The 21,271-nt window shown below is 44.1% G+C and overlaps 1 long non-coding RNA gene across 2 annotated transcripts, besides 4 other annotated features; it reads right to left on the reverse strand.

Moving 5' to 3' along the window:
• Window positions 1–930: 930 nt before the first annotated feature.
• LOC105378308 (uncharacterized) lies at window positions 931–19,804 on the reverse strand. Of its 2 annotated transcripts, XR_945968.3 has the most exons (4): window positions 18,913–19,804; window positions 10,455–10,527; window positions 9,886–10,236; window positions 931–7,474 (listed from the first exon to the last, which is right to left on the reverse strand). It is a non-coding gene; the product is annotated as an uncharacterized LOC105378308 (long non-coding RNA). The 2 variants fall into 2 exon arrangements; XR_945967.3 differs by having other exon boundaries at window positions 9,886–10,527.
• Window positions 19,023–19,548: an enhancer, noted in NCBI's record as "H3K27ac hESC enhancer chr10:54724279-54724804 (GRCh37/hg19 assembly coordinates)". NCBI's record gives its function as "activates a minimal SCP1, AML or CMV promoter by ChIP-STARR-seq in primed H9 embryonic stem cells {active_cell/tissue: H9 hESC(primed)}" and the evidence as "EXISTENCE:reporter gene assay evidence [ECO:0000049][PMID:30033119]".
• Window positions 20,497–20,846: an enhancer, noted in NCBI's record as "active region_3379". NCBI's record gives its function as "activates an Ori minimal core promoter by ATAC-STARR-seq in GM12878 lymphoblastoid cells {active_cell/tissue: GM12878}" and the evidence as "EXISTENCE:reporter gene assay evidence [ECO:0000049][PMID:35858748]".
• Window positions 20,497–21,123: a biological region, named in NCBI's record as "NANOG-H3K27ac-H3K4me1 hESC enhancer GRCh37_chr10:54725855-54726379".
• Window positions 20,599–21,123: an enhancer, noted in NCBI's record as "NANOG-H3K27ac-H3K4me1 hESC enhancer chr10:54725855-54726379 (GRCh37/hg19 assembly coordinates)". NCBI's record gives its function as "activates a minimal SCP1, AML or CMV promoter by ChIP-STARR-seq in naive H9 embryonic stem cells {active_cell/tissue: H9 hESC(naive)}" and the evidence as "EXISTENCE:reporter gene assay evidence [ECO:0000049][PMID:30033119]".

A 21,271-nucleotide genomic window follows, 5' to 3' on the forward strand; every position in this document is an offset into this window, starting at 1 on the left:
AGTAGAGGTTCCTCTTCAAAGACTTTCCTCCCCATCTAATTAGGAATAAATAGTAACTTCTCTTAGAAGCAAAATTTATTCAAAGACCTGTGCTAACATTCTTAAATATTTGCTAGCCGTAATAAAAAAATCAATGTACTTTATGTTCTTAGCTCCCACAATTTAGCCTAAATATTTACCCTTGCATGTTTAAACTGGTCCAAGCAAGCATTAGGTCATAGCTTGTTCCTCTTCCTTATTTAAAAGTGTTTTTACTTTCTTCAGCATTCTACAAGTTACTTCCTCCTTCCTTTGTTCCCTCTACCTTTGCCTCTTTTAAAAAGTTCTAAGTGGCTAGCCAATCGGGACAAATACAGAATGTGAGGTCCCGTTCCAGCCAATGGAAACCAGACACAGCAGTAGGGTGGACGCATCAGGTTATAAATGACCCTGTCTCCTTTGTTCGGTGTACCTTTGTGGCAAAACTGCTTGCGAGTGTACCCTTTCCGCAGGAAGTAAAAATGGCCTTACTAAATAAATTTATGTTCAAGTGCAATTTCTTTATGGCACCAGGGAACAAGCATTTCAAACATCAAGAAATCATTAAACTGAAATGAGTCTCACTTGGCTAAAATTAAGCTGTTGTCAGTGATATCTTCCTTCTGAAAATTCTAGGGAATTTCTTTTTTTTTTTTTTTTTGCTTTTTGCTCTTTCCAGCTTCTGAAAGAGACTGCCTTTACCCCTTAGCTTGGGGTCCATCATCTATATTCAAAAGCATTCAATCTCTAAGGCTTAAAAACATTGGCCCAATTCACTCCAAACTTTGCTTCCCTTATCACATCTGCTTTTCTGTCTCTGACGCTCTCGCTCCTGCTTCCCTCTTCAACATATAAGGGCCCTGTAATCACAGATTGTTGGAACCGAGTGAGTTACAGAGAAACGCCACACTCTGAGACTAATTCAGGAGTCCTTTATTGCCGGCGACCGAGAGACAGCTAGAACTAAAAAATTCTCTCAGCCCCGAAGAAGGGGCTAGATGTTTTTTTTTATACCTTGGTCTAAAAAGTGGAGGCGGAGCCTAGCTGAAGCAATTTTACAGAAGCAGAACAAGCAAAAAGTTAAAAGATAAATGGTTACAGAAACAGTTACAGAAAAATAAACAGTTCCAGGTGCAAGGGCTTAAAGTATCACAAAGAGATAAATGCAGGGGCTTTGGGTACCATCAACCGAGTGCGTTCCCAGGGGCTGCTGGTACAGCTTGCCCCAGTATCTTAACAGTAAGTGCGTTCCTGAATGTGCTTGGAGTCAGCTTGCACCAGTTATGTCCTTAAGGGAAGGGGATAAGGGGCTGCAAATGAAGAAACCAAAATGGAGTCTGGCTCTCTCAGCTAAGTGAGAGTCAATCAGGTTAAAACAAGGTAGGGTATCACATTTCCCACTCATGTTTTTGGGGAATCAAATGATTGATTCCTCAGTTATAACGAGGGGGTTATATTGGGTTTTAAGATACATAAGTTTGACATAAGCTATGTGTTGCTTTATAAAGTTAAGAAACCAATTTAACATGCAAGGCCTGAAGACTAAACCTAACAAGAGGAGGAGGAGAGGTCCCGCCAACCCAGTAATTAGAGTAGTTAGCCATGGATTCCGGTTGAACATATTTTGGTACCGGGGGTGTTATTTTCTCGTTCTTGCTGGCGTCTATCTAGATTTTCTCTAACTCTTTGAAGAGTATTTTTATGACTCCAGACTGGTTTGCATAGAAACAACAACTTTCTTCTAGTGCTGCGCATAAACCTCCTTAGGAGAGAAATAGCAGGTCTAAGCCTCGGCAGTTTTGAAGAACTACTTCAGTTAGAGACTCTACCTGGGTATGTAGTATATTTACGGCTGATTGGAGATTGTTTAAATCAGCATCTACTTGTTGAGATAGGGATATTAATCCAGTTTCTCCTTGAATCAGGGCACTCATGCCGATGGCTGCTGACCCAGCTGTGCTAAGGCCGGCTAGAAGGGGTACAAGGAGTGGGGCAGCTTGGCGAAACCTTAACTGCAACTCAGCGGGGGGCAATGAGAGGTTGTCCTTCTGGCCCACTGTAGACATAGACCTGGGGCAGTACATGAACCAACACGCATAGGAGAGGTCCAGGTTCAGTCCCGTTGATGCAGCGAGTGAGGCCTGAAGTGCAGGCCAACCAAGTATTGTTGGGTGCCTGGTAGGAGACTGAGGCATTTAAGAAAGTAAGTAGAGATTGACTACAGGTAGCCTGAAAGGGAGAAGCAGGTAAGTTGTACCCGGCGCTAATTAGACAGGAGGCGTTCCCTGACATGTCTCCTAGTGTAAGGACATGGGGGCATGTATGACAAAAAAAGAGTTAATTTTAAGTGTGGCTTCTACTCCCAATCCAACATAATATGGGGGCTTGGCCTTTAGGCATAACCAACAATCTTGGGCTAGTCTAGCCTGGGTGAGATTAAAGAGGTGATGTACCCCATCCAGAATGGACATCAGACTGGGTTGGAGGTGTTGTCGTTGCAGCTGAGGTCTATGAACCAGGAATGCTGGTGGGACAGTTGAATCGACCCTGTCTGGGTGTTTTTGGAACATTGGGTCACCTAAATCAGTTAATGGTCCGATTGGCTTAGGAGGGCTCCATGGGACCAGGATTTTCTGCTGGATGGTGAGCAGAGTTCCAACATCAAATCCTGAGATATAAAGCCTTAATCCCCATGACATGCCGTAATACCACTGAGTTAAACTAGGGTTATGGACAGTTATAGTAAGAAGATTGCAGTTTCCCATAGTACACTGTCTAGAACAGGAAGTGCGGGCTATGGATAGGGTTGAGGACCTCGTTGATTCTCCAGAGTAAGTGGCCAAGTTTACACACCTCCAGTAAGGACAGAAAAACTGGTAAGAATCTCGACAACTAGAGTCGGGGTGATTTCCAGGACAGAGGTAAAAGTTAATGCTCTGGAGTCCTTTCTTTGCACCCTTGGAACTTCCACATCCAGTCTGGCTTCCGGTGTGTCCAAGCCCTGTAGCGAGGTCGACGTTCCCTACTCCTATGATCGGCAGATTGCATTGCTCTTTGAGGGTACGGGCAGGCACTGGAAACAAAGCACATAAATCGACTGCAAAAGAGACTTCCTTGGAGGTTCCCACCTTCCAGGTGGTGTTGGCAAACACGTCCTGTCATGAAAGAGGTGAGGAGAAAAGAGTAGGAAGGGGCAGGGGGCATAACAGGCATAAACAAACAAAAGAGGTAAATAAAAAGAATAAATTTGGTGGCTTCACTTGACTTAGGCGCAGTTTTAAGGGGCCTGGCCCGGGCTTGGGGACCCATGTTTCTTGCTGGCCTTTGTTGGCCTTTTTGATGCAGGAGTGATGAATCCAAGCAGGAATGCCATCTACTTTCAGAGCCGTCGGCGTGGTGAGGATGACAGTATGAGATCCTTTCTAGGCAGGAGTGAGTCCTTCCTTCTGGAACCTTTTAACATACACCAGGTCACCCTGCTGAAAAGAGTGGCAGGGTCCCGTCTGGTCAGGAACTGGATTGGGGTGTGCTCCCCGGACAAGTGGCTGGATGATGTCTTGTACCTGTTGGAGAGACTGCAGGTACTGTAACAAATTAGCTTGTGAGATTTCTGCTGAATGGGTATCCCTTAGCTTAGGCAAGACAGGCGGAGCCCTTCCATACATGATTTCAAAAGGTGAAAAACCAGCCTGGCAAGGGGTGCATCTTACTCTAAGAAGGGCTGAAGGAAGGAGCTTTACCCAATTTTCACCAGTTTCTAAGATTAATTTGGTAAGAGTACTTTTTAGGGTGTGGTTCATGCATTCTACTTGTCTAGAGCTCTGGGGTCAATAGGCACAATGGAGTTTCCACTGAATGTTTAATGCCTTGCTAACCAACTGAGCTATGGACGAGGTGAAGGCTGGTCCATTATCAGACCCTATGGCAACAGGCAGTCCATGTCGAGGGATGATTTCATTGAATAAAAGCCTAACTGCCATGGTAGCAGTTTTGTTTTTGGTGGCAAATGCCTCAGTCTATCCAGAAAAGGTGTCTAGTAGCACCAGGATGTATTTATATCCTGCCCGGTGTGGTTTTACCTTCGTAAAGTCAATTTCCCACCTTTCTCCTGGCGAGCCTCCCCGGAGGCAGTGACGTGGGCTGGGTTTAGGACCTTGTTTGGCGTTTACCTGAGCACTAGCCGTATGCTGGAGAGCTGCTTGGTTAGTTAAGTCCTGAAGGTGGGGGATCTTGAAATGGCTCTTTAAAAGCTGGGCCAGTTTTACTCCTCCCAGATGGGTGGTAGAATGTAGATGATTGATTAAAGCTTCCCCGAGAGCTTGGGGCATGAAGATTCTGAAATCAGGAAGAATCCACCAACCTTCCTGATTTTTACTGGCCTGAAGATCCGAAGTTTGTTTTTCTTCCTCTGGGGAGTATTCTGGGTGGCCTGGCAAGTCTGGTTGCGGAAAGGACACAGCGGGCAGCAGGGTGAAAGGCACGACCAGGAGCCGAGCTGCCTCTCAAGCTGCAGAATCTGCTCTTTGGTTACCTCGAGCAACGGCCGTGTCTTCTCTTTGATGTCCTTTGCAGTGAATTACAGCCACCTGCTGAGGGAGCCAAACAGCTTCAAGCAGGGTCAAAATTTCTTCTTTGTCTTTTATAGTTTTACCCGCGGAGGTGAGTAGCCCTCGCTCTTGATAGATGGCTCCACGTGCATGTGTAGTAGCAAAAGCGTATCTGCTGTCAGTGCAGATATTAATACATTTGTCCTTACCCCATCAGAGGGCCTGAGTGAGGGCAACCAATTCAGCCCTTTGTGCCAAAGTACCTGCCAGCAGTGCCTGGGCCCACAGTACATATGAATCTATAGTAACGGCCGCACCAGCCTTTCGTACTCCCTGTTTAAGGAAGCTGCTGCTGTCTGTAAACACAGTGGTATCTGCCTCCTTTAGAAGCACATCTTGGAGATCAGGTCGCCCAGTTTCTGTAGTCTCTAACAGTTCTTGGCAGTCATGGACAGGTGTGGTAAGGTGTGGATCAGGGAGCAAGGTAGCTGGATTTAAACACCTTGTGAGAGAGAAAGTTAAATGAGGCTGATCTAACAGTAAGCTCTGATACTGCAGGATGCGAGCATTCGACATCCATTTGCCAGAGGCACTTCGTAGCAAATTCTCTATGGCATGAGGAGCCGTGAGGGTTAAATTCTGGCCCAGAGTCAGTTTATCAGCCTCCTGGACCAGGCTTGCTGTTGCCCCTACAGCTCACAGACAACTTGGCCACCAGGAGGCCTCAGGGTCTAGTCTCTTAGACAAGTAGGCCACTGGGCATTGCCATGGTCCCAAAGTCTAAGTGAGTACCCCTTTAGTGACTCCCTGGCTTTCATGAACAAAAAGGTGAAATGGTTTTGAGATATTTGGGAGGACAAGAGCAGGGGCCTCCGTTAATACCTTTTTCAGGTTTAGAAAAGCCTGTTCTTCTTTGTCAGTCCAAACTAGCGGGCCATTAACTCCAGTAGCGGTATAAAGGGGCTTGGTGATTTCCGCGAACCCTAATATCCATAGGTGACTGTCCCACAGCCCCCGGGAATTCATGTACCTGTCTTTTGGTGGTGGGAGTGGAGATTCGCAGGATGGCCTTCTTTCAAGCACTGGTGAGTGCCCTTTTTCCCTTGTTTATCTCGTACCCCAGGTAGGAAACTCTGGGAAGACAAAGCTGGCCATTCTTGGCCGAGACCCGATACCCGAGTTCCTGAAGGAGGTAAAGTAGGTCCCTAGTATGTTGCAGGCAGCTGTCAGTAGTTTTAATAGCCAATAACAGGTGGTCTACATACTGGAGAAGAGTGCAGTGAGGGTTACTGGCTCAGAATGGTATAAGATCCTGTTGGAGGGCTTCCCCAAAAAGGGTAGGGGAGTTTTTAAAACCCTGGGGTAATTGAGTCCAGGTTAATTGGGTGGTGTCTCCCGAGCCAGGATCTGTCCATTCAAAAGCAAAGACAGGTTGGATTTTGGGGGCCAGAGGAATAGCAAAGAAAGCATCCTTTAAGTCAAGGACAGTATACATTGTATGTTCGGGCGGGAGCAGGCTGAGTAAAGTATAAGGGTTAGGCACAGTTGGATGGATGGTAACTGTCCACTTGTTAACTTCCTACAAATCTGTACAGGCCGGTAATCATTTGTTCCGGGTTTCTGGACCGGCAAAAATGGAGTATTCCAGGCGGACTCACATGGTGGGAGTATACCAGCTTGTAATAGTCGCTGAATATGGGGATCGATTCCCTCTCTAGCCTGCTGACTCACAGGATATTGTTTTACCTGGACTGGCAGCAGTGGCCAGGAGCTCTACAACTACTGGCAGATGGTGCTTTGCCATTCCTGGGGGGTTTGATTCGGCCCAGACTCAGGGAAACAGAGTCTGTAAATCCAGTAGGAGAGGATTAGTACTATTTCCCAGCAGTTGTGAGGGTGAAACTAAGAGATATTCCTCTGACAGAGGGGTGGTTAGCAGAAGCTGAGCAGTAGGGGGTGCTGTGTCCCCTAACATGATGTGAGCTTGTTGGGCCGAGAAGGAGATGGACGTCTGTAGCTTATGAAGTAGGTCTCGTCTGAGGAGGGGGAAGGGGCACTCTGGGACTGCAAGAAATGAGTGGGTTACTCTTTTCTGTCCCAAACTCACCTCTCGTGAGTGGGTGACAGGATATTCCTGAATAGCTCCCATAGACCCTTGCACAGCCACCTTTTTATTAGAGACACTGCCCAAGGGTATCTGCAGTACCAAGTGTTCCGCCCCGGTGTCAATTAGGAAGCGTATAGGCTGGCCCCCCAGTGTGGCAGTCACCATGGGCTCCCAGGGGCCAAGGGAGAGGGAGCCCCGGCCCCATCAATCATCAGATTCCTCCGCAGCAGGGAGGGTGAGGACCTTTTTCTCTTCTGGTTTTTCTTCTGGTTTTAATGGGCATTCCATTTTCCAGTGTCCAATCTGCTTGCAATAAGTGCATTGGTTTCTTTGTAGGGGAGCCTGCTCAGCTTTTGGCCTTTCTGGCAGGGACCCGGGATCCCTTGGCCAGTGCTCTGTGATGGGGGCCCTTCTGTCTTGGCTTCTTGGATGGCAGCCACGAAGATTTTTGCCTGTCTTTTTGATGCTTTGTCAGCAGCCCTTTCAGCTGCCTGAGCTGCCTGTTTTTGCTTTTTAACCTCTCAATTGTCAAAAACTTTCTGGGCTATCTCTAAAAGTTGGCTGGTGTTCATTCCAGCAAATCCCTACAGCTTTTGTAACTTTCTTCTATCAGGGGCTGCCTGAGCCACAAATGCCAAATTAATAGCACGGCTATTCTCGGGAGCTGCCAGGTCAAAAGGGGTATAAGTCCAATAGGCCTCTTGGAGGCATTCTAGAAACGCTCCTGGTGACTCATCGGGCCCCTGGACCACTTCAGTTGTCTTCGACAGATTCATGGGTTTTCGAGTGGCTCCCTTGATACCTGCAAGGAGATACCAATGAAAATTATCCAAAGCTCTCTTCCCACTTGAGGAGTTTGGATCCCAATCAGGCCAGGTAGAGGGAAAAACCTCCTCAAGGAGGTCTTGGGCTTCCTCCTCTGGTCTACTGGCTGATGTAAGGAAATACTTTCTGGCCTCTCTTTGGATACGGTCCCTCTCTTCAGAAGTGAAGGTTTAAAAGGAGTTGCTGACGGTCATCCCAGGTGAGCTGGTGGGTCCAGAGCACGGACTCTATCAGTGAGGTCAAGACTTGGGGCTTTTCAGAGAAGGGGGGATTATGAACCTTCCAGTTGTACAGGTCAGAAGTAGAGAAGGGGACATAAACTAAAAATGGAGCAGAACACTCACTGCCCGGGGGGATTTGGGACTCTCTCAGTGGGAGGAGGGGGGCCACCTCCTCCAGCCAAGGCTGTAATTGGGTGGCTATAGGGAGAGAGGCCACAGGGGACGTAGTCGAGGAGACAAGGGAAGATTCTGGGGGAGCAGGAGGGTTATAGGGCGGCAGACATGGGTGAAGAAAATTTTCCTCTTCTTCAGAAGGAGGCAGTACAGGAGGAGCCGAGGGAGGGGAGGGTTGGGGCAAAAGTTTGGTCCGGCTCAAAAGGACCTTGGAGGTGGGATCATGAATGGTGCATGAGCAGAGCCGTGGAGGAGGGCTCCAGACCAAATCTAGCCATTGATCAATGTAGGGAAACTGATCGGGGTGTCTGGGAGTTCCAGCAATGACCCGCTACACAGCCTGAACAATTGTGAGATTCAGTGACCCTTCTGGGGGCCACCCGTTACCAAACTTTGGCCATTCTACTTCACAGAGTGTCCAGAGTCTGCCCTTTTTAAGGTGGACTCCGTAATCATCTGAGAAGCCTAGAGAGAAATTCTGCAACATATATTGGAGAGTGCGCCAATCTCTACGGGGCCGGGAAGAAGAGTTTCCCATTCTGGAGGCAAATTAACAAGGTTTAAGCAGAAATATTAAACCCAGCATGGATAGAGATATTCCTGGCCTGGGGGGCTGCTGAATCAGAAGAACAGAAGTATTATAACCAGAAGAAGTAGGAAAACAGCTATAGCCAACGCTTCTTGCCACATAAGGCCTGTCTTCTCAAGCTTTGAGATCTAGGGAGAGGACAAGAGGCGGCTCCGTGGGATCCTCAGCCAGTGGGACCTAGGGGACCCCCACCTTCTTCTTCTTGACTTATGGCCCAAATATCTTTGGTGTTTCCACTACTCAAAGGCAAAAAGTTTGAACTCGGCCCTTTCTTTGAAGGGTTTAAGGAGGGAGAACAGAGCCAAGTCTTGGAGGCATTGGACTTGCTGCGACACAGGGAAACGAGACGTGCGGGGTAAAGGATGCCGATGAGGAGGAAAGGGGCCACTCGGATCTTCCCAAAGGTTGGCGAGTAGCCACGGAGGGGTAAAATAAGAGTCCAGACGGAGTAAAGCAGTATGGGCGTAGGTTTCTCTGCACAGTGCCTTATTTAAGGGCATGGGAAAAGTTACAGGATGACAGAAAAGGTGAGCAAGGAGATCAGCAGGGTGGCTATATTGGATCCACCACTAGTCTAAGGAGGAGGTGGACCAGTCATTGGGGCGTGGGGTATGGCAATCCAAACACCAGCAATCTTTATGGTGCCAGAAATTCCAAACAGGCGAATGTCTTCCACACCCTTTCCCATAACAACACCTGATTTGTTTCTGACAGAAAAGACAGGACTGGGATGGCCAGCCCAAATGACTAATGAGAGATTTGACCTCCTGGGATAGAAGATCTGTACTGAGGACCTTGAAGAAGTCCTTGCCCAGTCGTCTTGGGCAGTATCGATGACCTGACCTACGAAATTTAGACAGACACCAAACAGGACAATAGACACGGGGGTATATAAACAAGTATGGCAATTTTTATAGACAGACAAGGGGAGTGGGTCCCGTGATGGGATCAGTCAGATGCCTGCCTGGCTGCTCCCCTTGCGGGGACTTAGGCTCCTCCTGGCATTGGCAGGCCGGTATAAACCCCCGGCTCGGATCCAGCTATGCCCGATGCTGCCCTAAGCTTTATGAGGTCGCCACGGAACCGCAGGTGAGGGCCCTCTGAAACTCCATAGCTTTCGCCATGGAGCTACAAACTAGAAATTCAAGCACAAGCCCTTGAACTCCACATGTACTCACTCACTCACAGAGTTTATTACAATTTTTTATACCCGTTTAAAACCGAGGTCTCCTAGAGACCTGAACGAGAGAAGGAGAAGAGATAGAGAGAGACTAGACTTAACAGAGAAGACTGACAGAAACCAGGACGCTGTCCTCCAGCATCCTAGAGTGTGGACAGAGTCTGAGGGAGAAACCTAGTCAGAGCCATTTCCCTCCCAGGGAGACAGAGTCAGATCTGACTTACCTTCCCGGGACCGGAGACTGAGGACTCAGGAGTTGAATTTGGTTGGGCACACCAGCAGTTGATCCGTTCCCCTCTGGAAGACGGTGGCCTACGGGGCCCTGGAGCATCTTTAGGTGGCGCCTACCCTGTAAGCCCGCCGTTGCTCCGGGGGAGCCCGGAACGAGTCCGGCCCTCACCCGGTGGCGGATCTCGCTGGGGCCTCCAAAGTGTCATAACCGAGAGAGTTATAGAGAAACACCACACTCCGAGACTACTTCAGGAGTCCTTTATTGCCGGCGACCGAGAGACAGCTAGAACTAAAAAATTCTCTCGGCCCTGAAGAAGGGGCTAGATTTCTTTTTATACCTTGGTCTAAAAAGTGGAGGGGGAGCCTAGCTGAAGCAATTTTACCGAAGCAGAACAAGCAAAAAGTTAAAAGATAAGTGATTACAGAAACAGTTACAGAAAAAATAAATAGTTCCAGATGCAGGGGCTTAAACTATCACACAGAGATAAATGCAGGGGCTTTGGGTACCATCAACCAAGTGCGTTCCCAGGGGCTGCTGATATAGCTTGCCTCAGTATCTTACCAGTAATTGGATTCCTGAATGTGCTTGGAGTCAGCTTGCACCAGTTATGTCCTTAAGGGAGGGGGATAAGGGGCTGCAAGTGAATAAACCAAAATGGAGTCTGTCCGGCTCTCTCAGCTAAGTGAGAGTCAATCAGGTTAAAACAAGGTAGGGTATCACAAGATTACTTTGGGCTCAAACAAATAATTCAGCATAATGTTCTCATCACAAGGTCAGCGGATTAGCAATCTTAATTCCATCTGTCTCCTTAAAATCTCTTTGCCATATAACCCAAGAAATTCAAAAATTCCAGGGATTAGAATGTTCATACCTTTGGGGAAACATTCTCCGTATTATATAACCATTCTGAGGCCCCTACTAAATCATAAGCTAAAACTTATGATGATTATCTGGGTCCAGCATCCTTGGGGGGCATTTCGATCACAACCTTTGTTTTCCCAACTATGCAGAAAATGATTAACAGCAGGCCAAGCTTTTCAAACCCTGTACCTTCTAGATAAAAGCTGATTTTCAGAACTGGGCCTTGCCCAAGCCCCTGGGATACAACCTTTGAGCTGTTGGAATATTCTGCCTGATTAGATTGTTTTTGTATTCCTGATTCCTTGGGCCACACTGGACCGGTGTTACCAGATAACTTTATCCTGTGTGATTCATGGTGAATGCCTGTTTTTGCTGTGAGAAGGCTGGAGTCTGAGTAGATAGTCGATCATGCAGGCCCTGCACATATATGTGACTAATCCGCAATAAAAACCCTGGACTCAAAGCTCAGATCTGCTCTCCTGGTTGGCAACACTTTGAACATATTGTCACACACAGATGCTGGGAGAATGCACCAAGTCCTTGTTTGACTTTACTAGAGGAAACACTTGAAAAATGCTCCTGGTTTTTCCCAGATTTCTCCTATACTCCTTTTTCCCTTTGCTGATCCCAAAGTGTATCCTTTTTCTGTAATAAACCGTAAGCGTGAATACAACAGCTTTTATGTCCTGTGAGTCTTTCTAGTGATTCATTGAGCCCAAGAGTGGTCTCGGGGAACCCCACCAACACCAGTATTGTGAGACTGCAGAAAGTTGCGTTGCGCTGTCTGCCTCTTAGCATCAGCTTTCTGCTTGACTTCTCATTCTCTTGGCCCCATTCTACTTATGAGTCAGCAAACTCCTTAAGGATAAAGTGCTGCTATCAGTCTCCACTTCATCTCTATTCTTTCTGAATTTTGACTCCTTAATCCTAGTTTCCTTTGTACCTTGAACTTCATTTTTTTTCTTCCAAATCCTGTAAGACTGTAAAAATTCTGCTAAGGTAACATGCTTCCCGGTTGTTTCTTTTTATTCAGTTTCTCAGTTTGTTTGCACTGATGAAAAATTGACCGACGTAGAGCAAAACAATGCAGAATATTGGACTCATCACAAGCCATTTCTCTTTTCTATCAGATAACATCCACTCAAGTATTGTCTTCCTGCTGCTCTCTGATGACCTGTGGCTGATTTTGTTAGATGGGTTTATCTGATACAAGCTTGTCCTTCATAGGTGGGATCACATATCTCTCTATTCCCATCTATTTCTGCTTGTAATTTGACCAGTTCATTCCTGAGCTCATTCATTTCTTATAATTCCTTTCAAATCTTTCCAGTATCAGAGCTAAATACAGTCTACTACCATTCAACTGTCTACTCTTTTTCCCTAAAAGAACAAGATCGTTAGCTTCATAATCTGTGCTCCTATTTACCTTTCATGACAGTTTTCTTCCTGCATTCTCAAATTGCAATTTTCAACCTTACATCTAATTCCTTATTCAATGCCACATAATTTAGGTTTATCCAGAGTAGTAACGCATTCCTGATACCAATTTCTGGCTTAACAGAATGAAAGTTGATCACTCACTTGTGCTACATGTTGCTTTTGATTGAGATATAGCTTTGTTAGGCATAATTACTCAGAAAACAAGGGTGATGACAGCTGTTCAGTCTTATAGTTCCACTATACAAAATGTCTTCTTTTTTTACTTTTGCTGACAATTTTGGTCATAGTATATTGGTTATAACTAGTCACATGGCAAAGCCTAACTGTAAGGGGGCTGGGAAATATAATCTATGTTCCTGAAAGGAAAAGAACTTGGATATTGGTAAGCACTAGTAAAGTGCACCTCGGTAGCTGACATTTATTGAGTACCTATTTACAGCAGACTCAGTGCCACGAGACCAATATACTTCATTTTATTATATTCTTTTGTGTGTGTGTTTTTGAGAGAGAGTCTTGCTCTGTCGCCAGGCTGGAGTGCAGTGGCGCGATCTCAGCTCACTGCAACCTCTGCCTCCCAGCTTCCAGCAATTCCCCTGCCTCAACCTCCCGAATAGCTGGGGCTACAGGCATGTGCCACCACTCCTGGCTAACTTTTTTGTATTTTAGTAGAGGTGGGGTTTCACTGTGTTGGCCAGGATGGTCTCGATCTCCTGACCTCGTGATCTGCCCGCCTTGGCCTCCCAAAGTGCTGGGATTAGAGATGTGAGCCACTGTGCCCAGTCTGTTATATTCTTATAAAAAGTGTATAGCATAGCTATTAATAATTTTACAAGGCTGATGTAGATTTAGTGTTTGCCTACAGGTCACACAGCTAGTTAGTGCAGCAGCCTGGGTTTGAATCCAGAGTCTGACTCACTCTAACTCTGTGTATTCCCCTCTTGTGCATAAAACATTTGTGCTGTAAGTATTTGTTGAATGCATAAATATTGTGTTATGGTAGTTGATATAGTTTCATTCAGCTTTCTATTGGGAAAATATTGTTATTTCAGAACTTTATTTGTGACGGACATCATTAGAGAAATATGTCATGTGTCATATGTCATCTATCATCTCTGAAATATGTCATCTATCATGTCTTTAAATAACTGCTAGCTCAAAAGAGCTACATTCTGTAATTGGTTATTCACATCTATCCATGTATCATGTTAATTATCATCATCATTATAGTTATCTCCCTTTTCATGTCTGACTTTAGAAGAGGAATCTGACTTCTGTAGCAAATGTGTCTATTAGTTTGAGTTGTAGGTTGCAAAAGTAGGTACAGTAAAGAACTACGCATTCTGCTTAATAAAAATAAAGTATGTATTTTATGGATTTAATTGATATACTTCGTATGGGATTTTCAATATCAGTAGTATGGTATTACATTAAATTATGATTGGCACCATGCATATTTTAGTAGTAAAATCATTAAGTTATTTTGCTTAAGAAATTGGTCTTGGAAGAGCACACCTTTTGTGTCCTTTAGTTGTATATTCTGTGTGGGGCAAGACTGTGTCTTATAAAAATATCTTAAATCTCTCATTTTTATGGAATGTGAACTTAAATCTTATGTATGTGAGAGATGTGAACTGACACATAATACCTAGGACTGTTTCCCCTAAACATTTATAATTTATGTCAAAGAACAGTTGTCCTATTATACAATACAAAATGTGGTATATTGGTATATAAATATGAAATCATAAATTAAGATGAAATGCATTATTCATATATTAGGAAGAGAGTAGATTGCCTACTATGTGCCAGACACTGCAAGCTGCTATAGGGTGATGCTTCATATCTATTTAAAGGAAATTGGTAAGTTTACATAACCTGAATTTAAAAATGGGCACTTTTGCTCCCAATTTTTATGTCATTATGAGCAATCCCTGCATGGCAGTACCTCCTAAGCTTCTAAAATGAATAAGAAATGCTTCTAAAGGATGAGAATATTAAGTTTAAAGAAAGATGAGGGAAGTTTCTGTGAAATTAATCTTATGTCAGGAACGTCCTTGGGAGGAGAAATGGAAAATCACTGCTGCTATCACCCTTCCAGTTATAAAAAGAGGTTCATCGTTTTGGAATTAACTTGCTATGAAAAGAGCCTTAATTATCAGGTGTTTTGTATAACCATTTTTTTTTTTACAGAAAAATGTTTGTAACTTTGTGTGTTTTCCCTCTGAGATGGATGTGCTTTCTCTGCTAATTTTGGAGCCCTGCTGGTTCCTTTTCATCATTCAAATAGGACACAGCAGAGAGTGGCTGTCAATAAAAGAGCAATTTGTCTTTTAAACAGAACACACATAACAGCTCCTTTGCTGCCATAGCTATTGATTACAGCCTGAAGGGTTTGCCCCTCTTTTCAAGAGTCTTAAGATCACTGCTTCATATTGTTAACAAGGTTAAATTCCACTCAATTCCTTTTGCATAACTCAAACCGACATACAAGATTGAAAGCTGAATTTTTACTTCTTCGTGTTGCATTTCATAGTTATTAAGAAATTATACATATAGAGAAACTTGAGTTATCTTTGTAGGTTGTTATTGCAATGGGTTTTTTTTGTTTTTTATTTACAAAATTAGTTTTAAATTACAAACTCAATTTTAAAAGGGCCATTTTGGTATTGGCATATATTTTAAGAAAAGGCATAAGAGCTTCTGATTTGCAAATAAGTCAGACATAATAAGTGAGGTAATGCTGTGATAATGAACAATCTCTACAACTTAGGGACTTAAAGTAGCAAAGGCTTATTTCTTGCCCACATAGCATGTCCATCCTAAGCTACCTGTGAGCTTCCTTCATGTCCTTCTTATTCCAGGACCAAGGACAATGTAACCATCATCTGAAACATTTCAAGTTGCATGTCAGAGAAAAATAAAATGTAATACAGATACACTGGTTCTTAAGGCTTTCTTCTGGTAGTGATACACAACACTCCTGCTCACATCTTCATGGGACAAAGAGAGTCACATGGCTATGCCAAAATTCAAGTGCATACAAAAAGTTTAATTCTGCCATGTGCTCAGGAGAAGAAGCAAAATATTTGTTAATAGTCTTAAAGTCTACCACAGAAATCATATACACATTTTGGTATATTTTAAGAATGTGTATTTTCAGAGAATTTTGTGATTTAGGAAATTTTTTCTAGGTTCTTTATATTATCTCAATTTATGGCAGAAATATTTAGAATTTATCTAAAGAAGTATAAATGCACATGGACTGTAATAAACTTTTTTGACAAAGTAGCATCTGTGTAATGTCCAGACCTTCTAATCTGGATATCATTACCTTGTTATAGTTACTCATAAGGTTAATCTTCTTTTGATGACAAACTAATTCTTGACGGAAAGCTTTAACTTGGAACTTTAATGACCACAGATAATTAATTGAGAGTCATTAAACATAGAGTCTACTATGGAAACCATGCATAGTTTCTTGAATTAATTAATTTGATATAATCCTCAAATAATAACAGAAGTTAAGGCTAGTCTTGTTTAAAACTTCAAATCTTATAAATCCCAAATTGCAAATTCAAAATCCTCTCCTGACTGCAAATATTTCAGTGCTGTTATATAACTGTTCTCTGGGTATTAAGCTATTATACAATTGTTAAGTTTAGCCTAAAGCTCCTTCCTTGCATATTTTAAGTGTAGCATAAAGGCTTCTCTATAGGTAGTGAACCACAAACTAACTGGATGTGTTAACATACTGTACTCTACTCTTGTGCCAATCACTGACGTTCAGCCAATCAAGGATGGACAACTGTTCAAACCATGTTCAAATAAGGCAAACAAACACTGAGCTAGAACTGACCCAGCTGTCTCTACTCCTCAGTTCTGTCTTCTGTACACCACTTTCCTTTTTCTGTTTATAAATCTTCCTCCACGCAGCTGACCAAGCTGGAGTATCTGAATCTGCTGTGATTCTGGGGCCTGCCCAATTTACAAATCATTCTTTACTCAGTTAAACTCTGTTAGATTTAATTTGTCTGAAGGTTTTCTTTTAACACAGTTTTCCTAAAATTGATGCTGTTTTCCTATTGAAAAAAGCTTTAAATCTAGTTCAATGGTTCCTGAATTTGGTTGAACATTAGAATATCCAAAGTAACATACTAAACCTTTTTTATGGGTTTGTAGCTCAGGAAATGCCAGATGAGGGGATTTGGGAGGAAGCCTGAAATGTGTGTTACTCTGGAGATGATAATAAAATAATATCTTCCACTAAATATGTCAAATATTTTTGTAGATATACTAACTAATTATTGGGTGGTCACTCTTGTAAACAGAGAAAATGAAGCTCAGTCAGGTGGCAAGCACGGAGATTAGGAAAGTCAGAGTGAGACAGAGGTTATCCTTTGTTTTTACTAATAGTGTGATTTTGGACAAATTAGAGTTTTTTCTTTAAAGGTACATGACAGAAGTAAGTAATATATGTAATATATTTCTTGGCACACAGACTTTAAACAATATTGGCTTATATTGTGATTGTTCTTTCGGTTTATTATAGTTTTTGCAACTTTTGCTCCTGATATTATCTCAATTGAACTTTATGTAAGTTTTGACATTAAATTTAAGTTTCATAAATAGTAAAAGAAAGATGTCAGAATTATGAGTTCTTTTTCTTTTCTTTTTGAAAAATGTTCCAGGATACAAGAACCCTTTGGCTTCTGGGTTGATGTTAATTAAAATGAACTTTTTGGAAAGTTATTTTTCAGGTTATTTTGACATTATATTTCAAAATAGTTTGAGAGTTTTAGGGGGAAAATCTTTTAATATTGCGCCATTAAAAACATTTTCTATTTAATGTTTACCATTATAGTTTTGTTTTGTTTTTTTGAGGTGGAGTCCCACTCTGTCACCCAGGCTGGAGTTCAGTGGTGCAATCTTGAGTCACTGCAACCTCTGCCTCCCGTGTTCAAGTGATTCTCCTGCTTCAGCCTCCCGAGTAGCTGGGATTAAGGCATACACCACCATGCCCGGCTAATTTTTTTGTGTCTACTTTTAGTAGAGATGGGGTTTTGCCATGTTGGTCAGGCTGGTCTTGAAGTCCTGACCTCAGGTGATCCACCAGCGTGGGCCTCCCAAAGTGCTGAGATTACAGGCATGAGGCACAGCACCTGGCCAAAGGTGGCATTTTAAAAATCTTTTTTATTGTACATATTTAAAGTGTAAAATACGATGTTTTAATATACATATACTTAATGTAATGATTATTGCAGTAAAGCAACTAACATTTTCATTCCTTATACGGTTACCATTTTGTATGCTCATGGCAAAAGAACCTAAAATCTACTGTCTTAGCAAATTTTCAGTATATATTACAGTATCATTAATAATAGTAATCATTCTGCACATTAGCCCTTTTCATCCTGTGTAACTCCAACTTTCTAACTGTAAGGGGGAAGATAATTTCCTTTCCTTCCTTCTGAAGCATTGATAATTTGAGTCTATAAAGCAAACTGATAATAGACAGATTAGCAGAAAAAAAGCACACACATTTATCATGTGCACAAGAGTCCTGCAAAATATGAAAACTTAATGAAAGTGCCAGATGGCTCAAGGTTTTATACTGTCCTTAGGTCACAGAAAGAATAGGGGCTTGAAGCACTGCAGGACAGTTTATGGGAGGGAGAGAGAAGGAAAGGCATGGAGCAAAGGTGGTCTTGTTATACAGATGAAACTTGACAGGTAGCAGCTCTCAAAGAGTATGTGGTTGCCTATGGTACAAGTTTCTTTGTCAGACCCCTAGTCTCCTTTTCCTGTGAGATAATTATTCCAAGATCTAAGGAGAGGAGTGTTCATAAAAGGCCTGTTCGCCTCTGCTGTTTATTTCACTTTACTAATGTAAATTTCCTCTGCAGATACAAATCTGCCCCACAAATAGACAGCCTTTCAGCTATTCTTGTGTTTGCAACCCCTTTGAATAGCCATCTTGAAATATGCTGAGACATATACTTTGGGGTAAAATATTTTGTATTTTGTTCATAATTGTGCATTTTTTTAATATTAAGATAATTTATGCATTCCCTCATGGAGCCTATAAATGGGATGAGACAGTTGTAGAAGCTTGATGGTGTTTTATCAAATGTATTAAAAATTTACATGATTTTAAAAATATCTCTTGATAGATGGGGGAGAAAAATAAGTCTGTTTTTTTTGTCATTAGAAATGACATTCTTTAGGCTGGGCATGGTGACTCACACCTGTAATTCCAGCATTTTGGGAGGTCAAGGTGGGCAGATCACTTGTGCCCAGGAATTCAAGACCAGCCTGGGCAACATGGCAAAACCCTGTCTCTACAAAAAATACAAAAATAGCCAGGTGTGGTGGTGCGCACCTGCAGTCCCAGCTACTCAGGAGACTGAGGTGGGAGAATCACCTGAGTCTGGGAAGTTGAGGCTTCAGTGAGCCATGGTTGTGCCACTGCCATCTAGCCTGAGTGTGGCAGTCAGACCCTGTCATAACATAATATAACATCACATTATTTAGATAAGCTTCTTCAGACACTTATTTTACAGCTCAAGAAATGGAGGCCTAGAGCATTTAAGTCACTTGCCTAAACAAGAAAAGGTAAAGAAAATGGAAGGTAATGGGAGCATAATATCTAAGTCACTGAAATCAGGCATTTTTCTCAAATACTAATAGATTGGCTATAAAAGAAACCAAAATATTTTACCCCAAAATATTGTCATGAGATCCTTGGAGTATTGCTCTGCCAGCCCAAAACCTTTGTGACCCGTGGCATCTTCTGCATGAGTATTGCTTGCGCCCATTGGGCTTGTTCCGCCCACTCGGCCTGGCAGGCTGTGGTTGGCTTGTGCTGCTGGCCCAGATCCCATGCCTCCCAATGGCAAGCCAGGCACAGAACAGTGAGGGGTGTGTGCACAAGCTCAGGGTCCAGCCACTGTGCAAAGCCAGGTGTGCCAGCTGCAACAGGGTGGGCAGTTCCAGGCACCCGCACAGCTGCTGACAGAGGCTGCAGCTGAACCAGATGTACTACACGAGGCTTCCACTGTGGGCATCCACGTCTGGATGAGGGGAATGCAGTGGCACCCAGAAGCTTGGAGATGCCAGGAACGACAGAGCCACAAAGAGGATGTCACAGCCCTGTCTTGGGGAGCCCCTAGGTCTGAGGTCCCTTGAAGGGCAGCAGCTCTTCTCTCCTTCTCATTGCCCACAGTGTGTTGGGCCAGGGGGTTGAGGGCAAAGTTTCAGCCCTGTTTGTGTTACAGCCTTTTCAGTCACGCCATTCAGCAGGTCCCATGTTCTTGTCCTGCATCCAGGAAGAATGACGTACACAGACAACTGGAGAGTGAGTAAGGTGGAGAGAAGCTTCATTGAGCGACAGCTCTCAGGAGACCCAAAGTGGGTACCGCAGGCATGTCATCCCGAGTGTCCAGCTCTCAGCAGAGGAGACTGACAGTGGATAGCTCCTTTCCATAGGCAGGTTGTCCTGATGAGTCAAGGAGACCCGACATGGGTAGCTCCCTCCTGCTGCTGGTAGTCCTGGTGAGTCAAAGAGACCTGAAGTGGGTAGTTCTTTCCCGCATCTGGTGGTCCTCACATCTGTCTGAGTCTGACTCAGTCTGTTCTTTTTATGGGCTCAGAAGGGAGAAAGTGTGTGCTGATTGGTCCATGGGTAGCCATGGGTGGGCCCAGAAAAAGCACCATAATTTCTCAGTCCAGGTCACAGATTTCACCCAGAACTAGCAGTCCAGCCCACAGGCTTCAGGCTGGCCCTGGCTTGAAAGTGGGGTTTCACCAGGGACCCGCCCCTTTCCACCCAGGAACCTGTCTGCCTCCAGCTATAAACATGCCATTCATGGCACCCAGGCTGTTTGCACCAAGGGACACCTGCAGCCCCATGCAGAGCTGCCCTTAGTGCCCCCAGGCCTCCCTTCTGCACTAGTCAGTGACCAAAGTCCTGTGGGGGCCCAGGTGGCAAGGGGGGCTGCTGTGTCAGCACTGCCCTGAGCATGCACACACTCAGCAAGCTTGCAACAGTGCCCGGACTTGACCACAACTTTGCTCCAAAATCAAAGTGGACACTGGGAGCAGGGAGAGGCCGGGGAGTGGGAGCAGGCACTTTTGAGCTTGCAGGGGCTGGGGGGCTTCCTGGGCCCCGGAGAAAACAGGGATGCTGAGGTCTGGAGACATGGCTGGGTGGTTGTGGCTGGCGTGGGAGCATGGGGCTCCTGCCCTGTCAACTCGGTAAGGGGGCAGGGCTCCTGCCTCTTCCTGGCTCCCTCTGGACCCAGAGCACACGACCCAGCCGCAGCTCACTGGCTGCAGCCAGCCTCTTCACAGCAGCTCCTCCAGATAGGCTGCTGCTGCCATCAATATGGCTGAACGAAACTGGCAACTTCAGGTCTCTCGGATTACTTCCCCTTCTCTTAACCCTTTGTCTCTTTCAAAGCACAGAATGAGGCTGTTCTCTTCAGTTCCCTTTTCTACCTGGAAATCCCCCAGAACAAACACAATTGCCTTCCTTGTCCTCCCTGAAATCTCATTATCTATCTCAGACAACTGAGGAATACAACCACACCTGGATGGACCTGTTACAAGATAGTGCCTGCCTCTCAGGCTCATTCGAATTTCAAAGAGAATCATTTACAAGTTAATTTCTGTACCCTGGGCCTACTCATTGTCCCTAATAATCATTCACTGCTCCTCAAAGAGTTGTCTACATTCCCCATCTTCCATCCCCTATGAGGAAGGGTATATAAGCTTTTATACTCCATTTGCTTATTGGGTAATCATTATCTTACCCTGTGATTCTCCCCATGCAATGCACATTAAAATAAATTTTGTATGCCTTTTCCCCTATTAATTTGCCTTTTGTCAACTGGTTGTCAGCAAAACTGCAGAGGGGGACATGGATATTTTTCCTTGGTCCCTACCACTAACTTGCTAAAATTTGTTTTATCAGAAAGAATCTGAATATATGCAAATGAAATCTCATCAATGATTATGGGTGTTCACTAGTCTAAATATGATTGTTTACTATATAATATAGCTGCAATAGCATACTCATT

The sequence above is a fragment of the Homo sapiens genome, chromosome 10 (assembly GCF_000001405.40).
Source record: "Homo sapiens chromosome 10, GRCh38.p14 Primary Assembly".
In the NCBI taxonomy this organism is placed as follows: domain Eukaryota; kingdom Metazoa; phylum Chordata; class Mammalia; order Primates; family Hominidae; genus Homo; species Homo sapiens.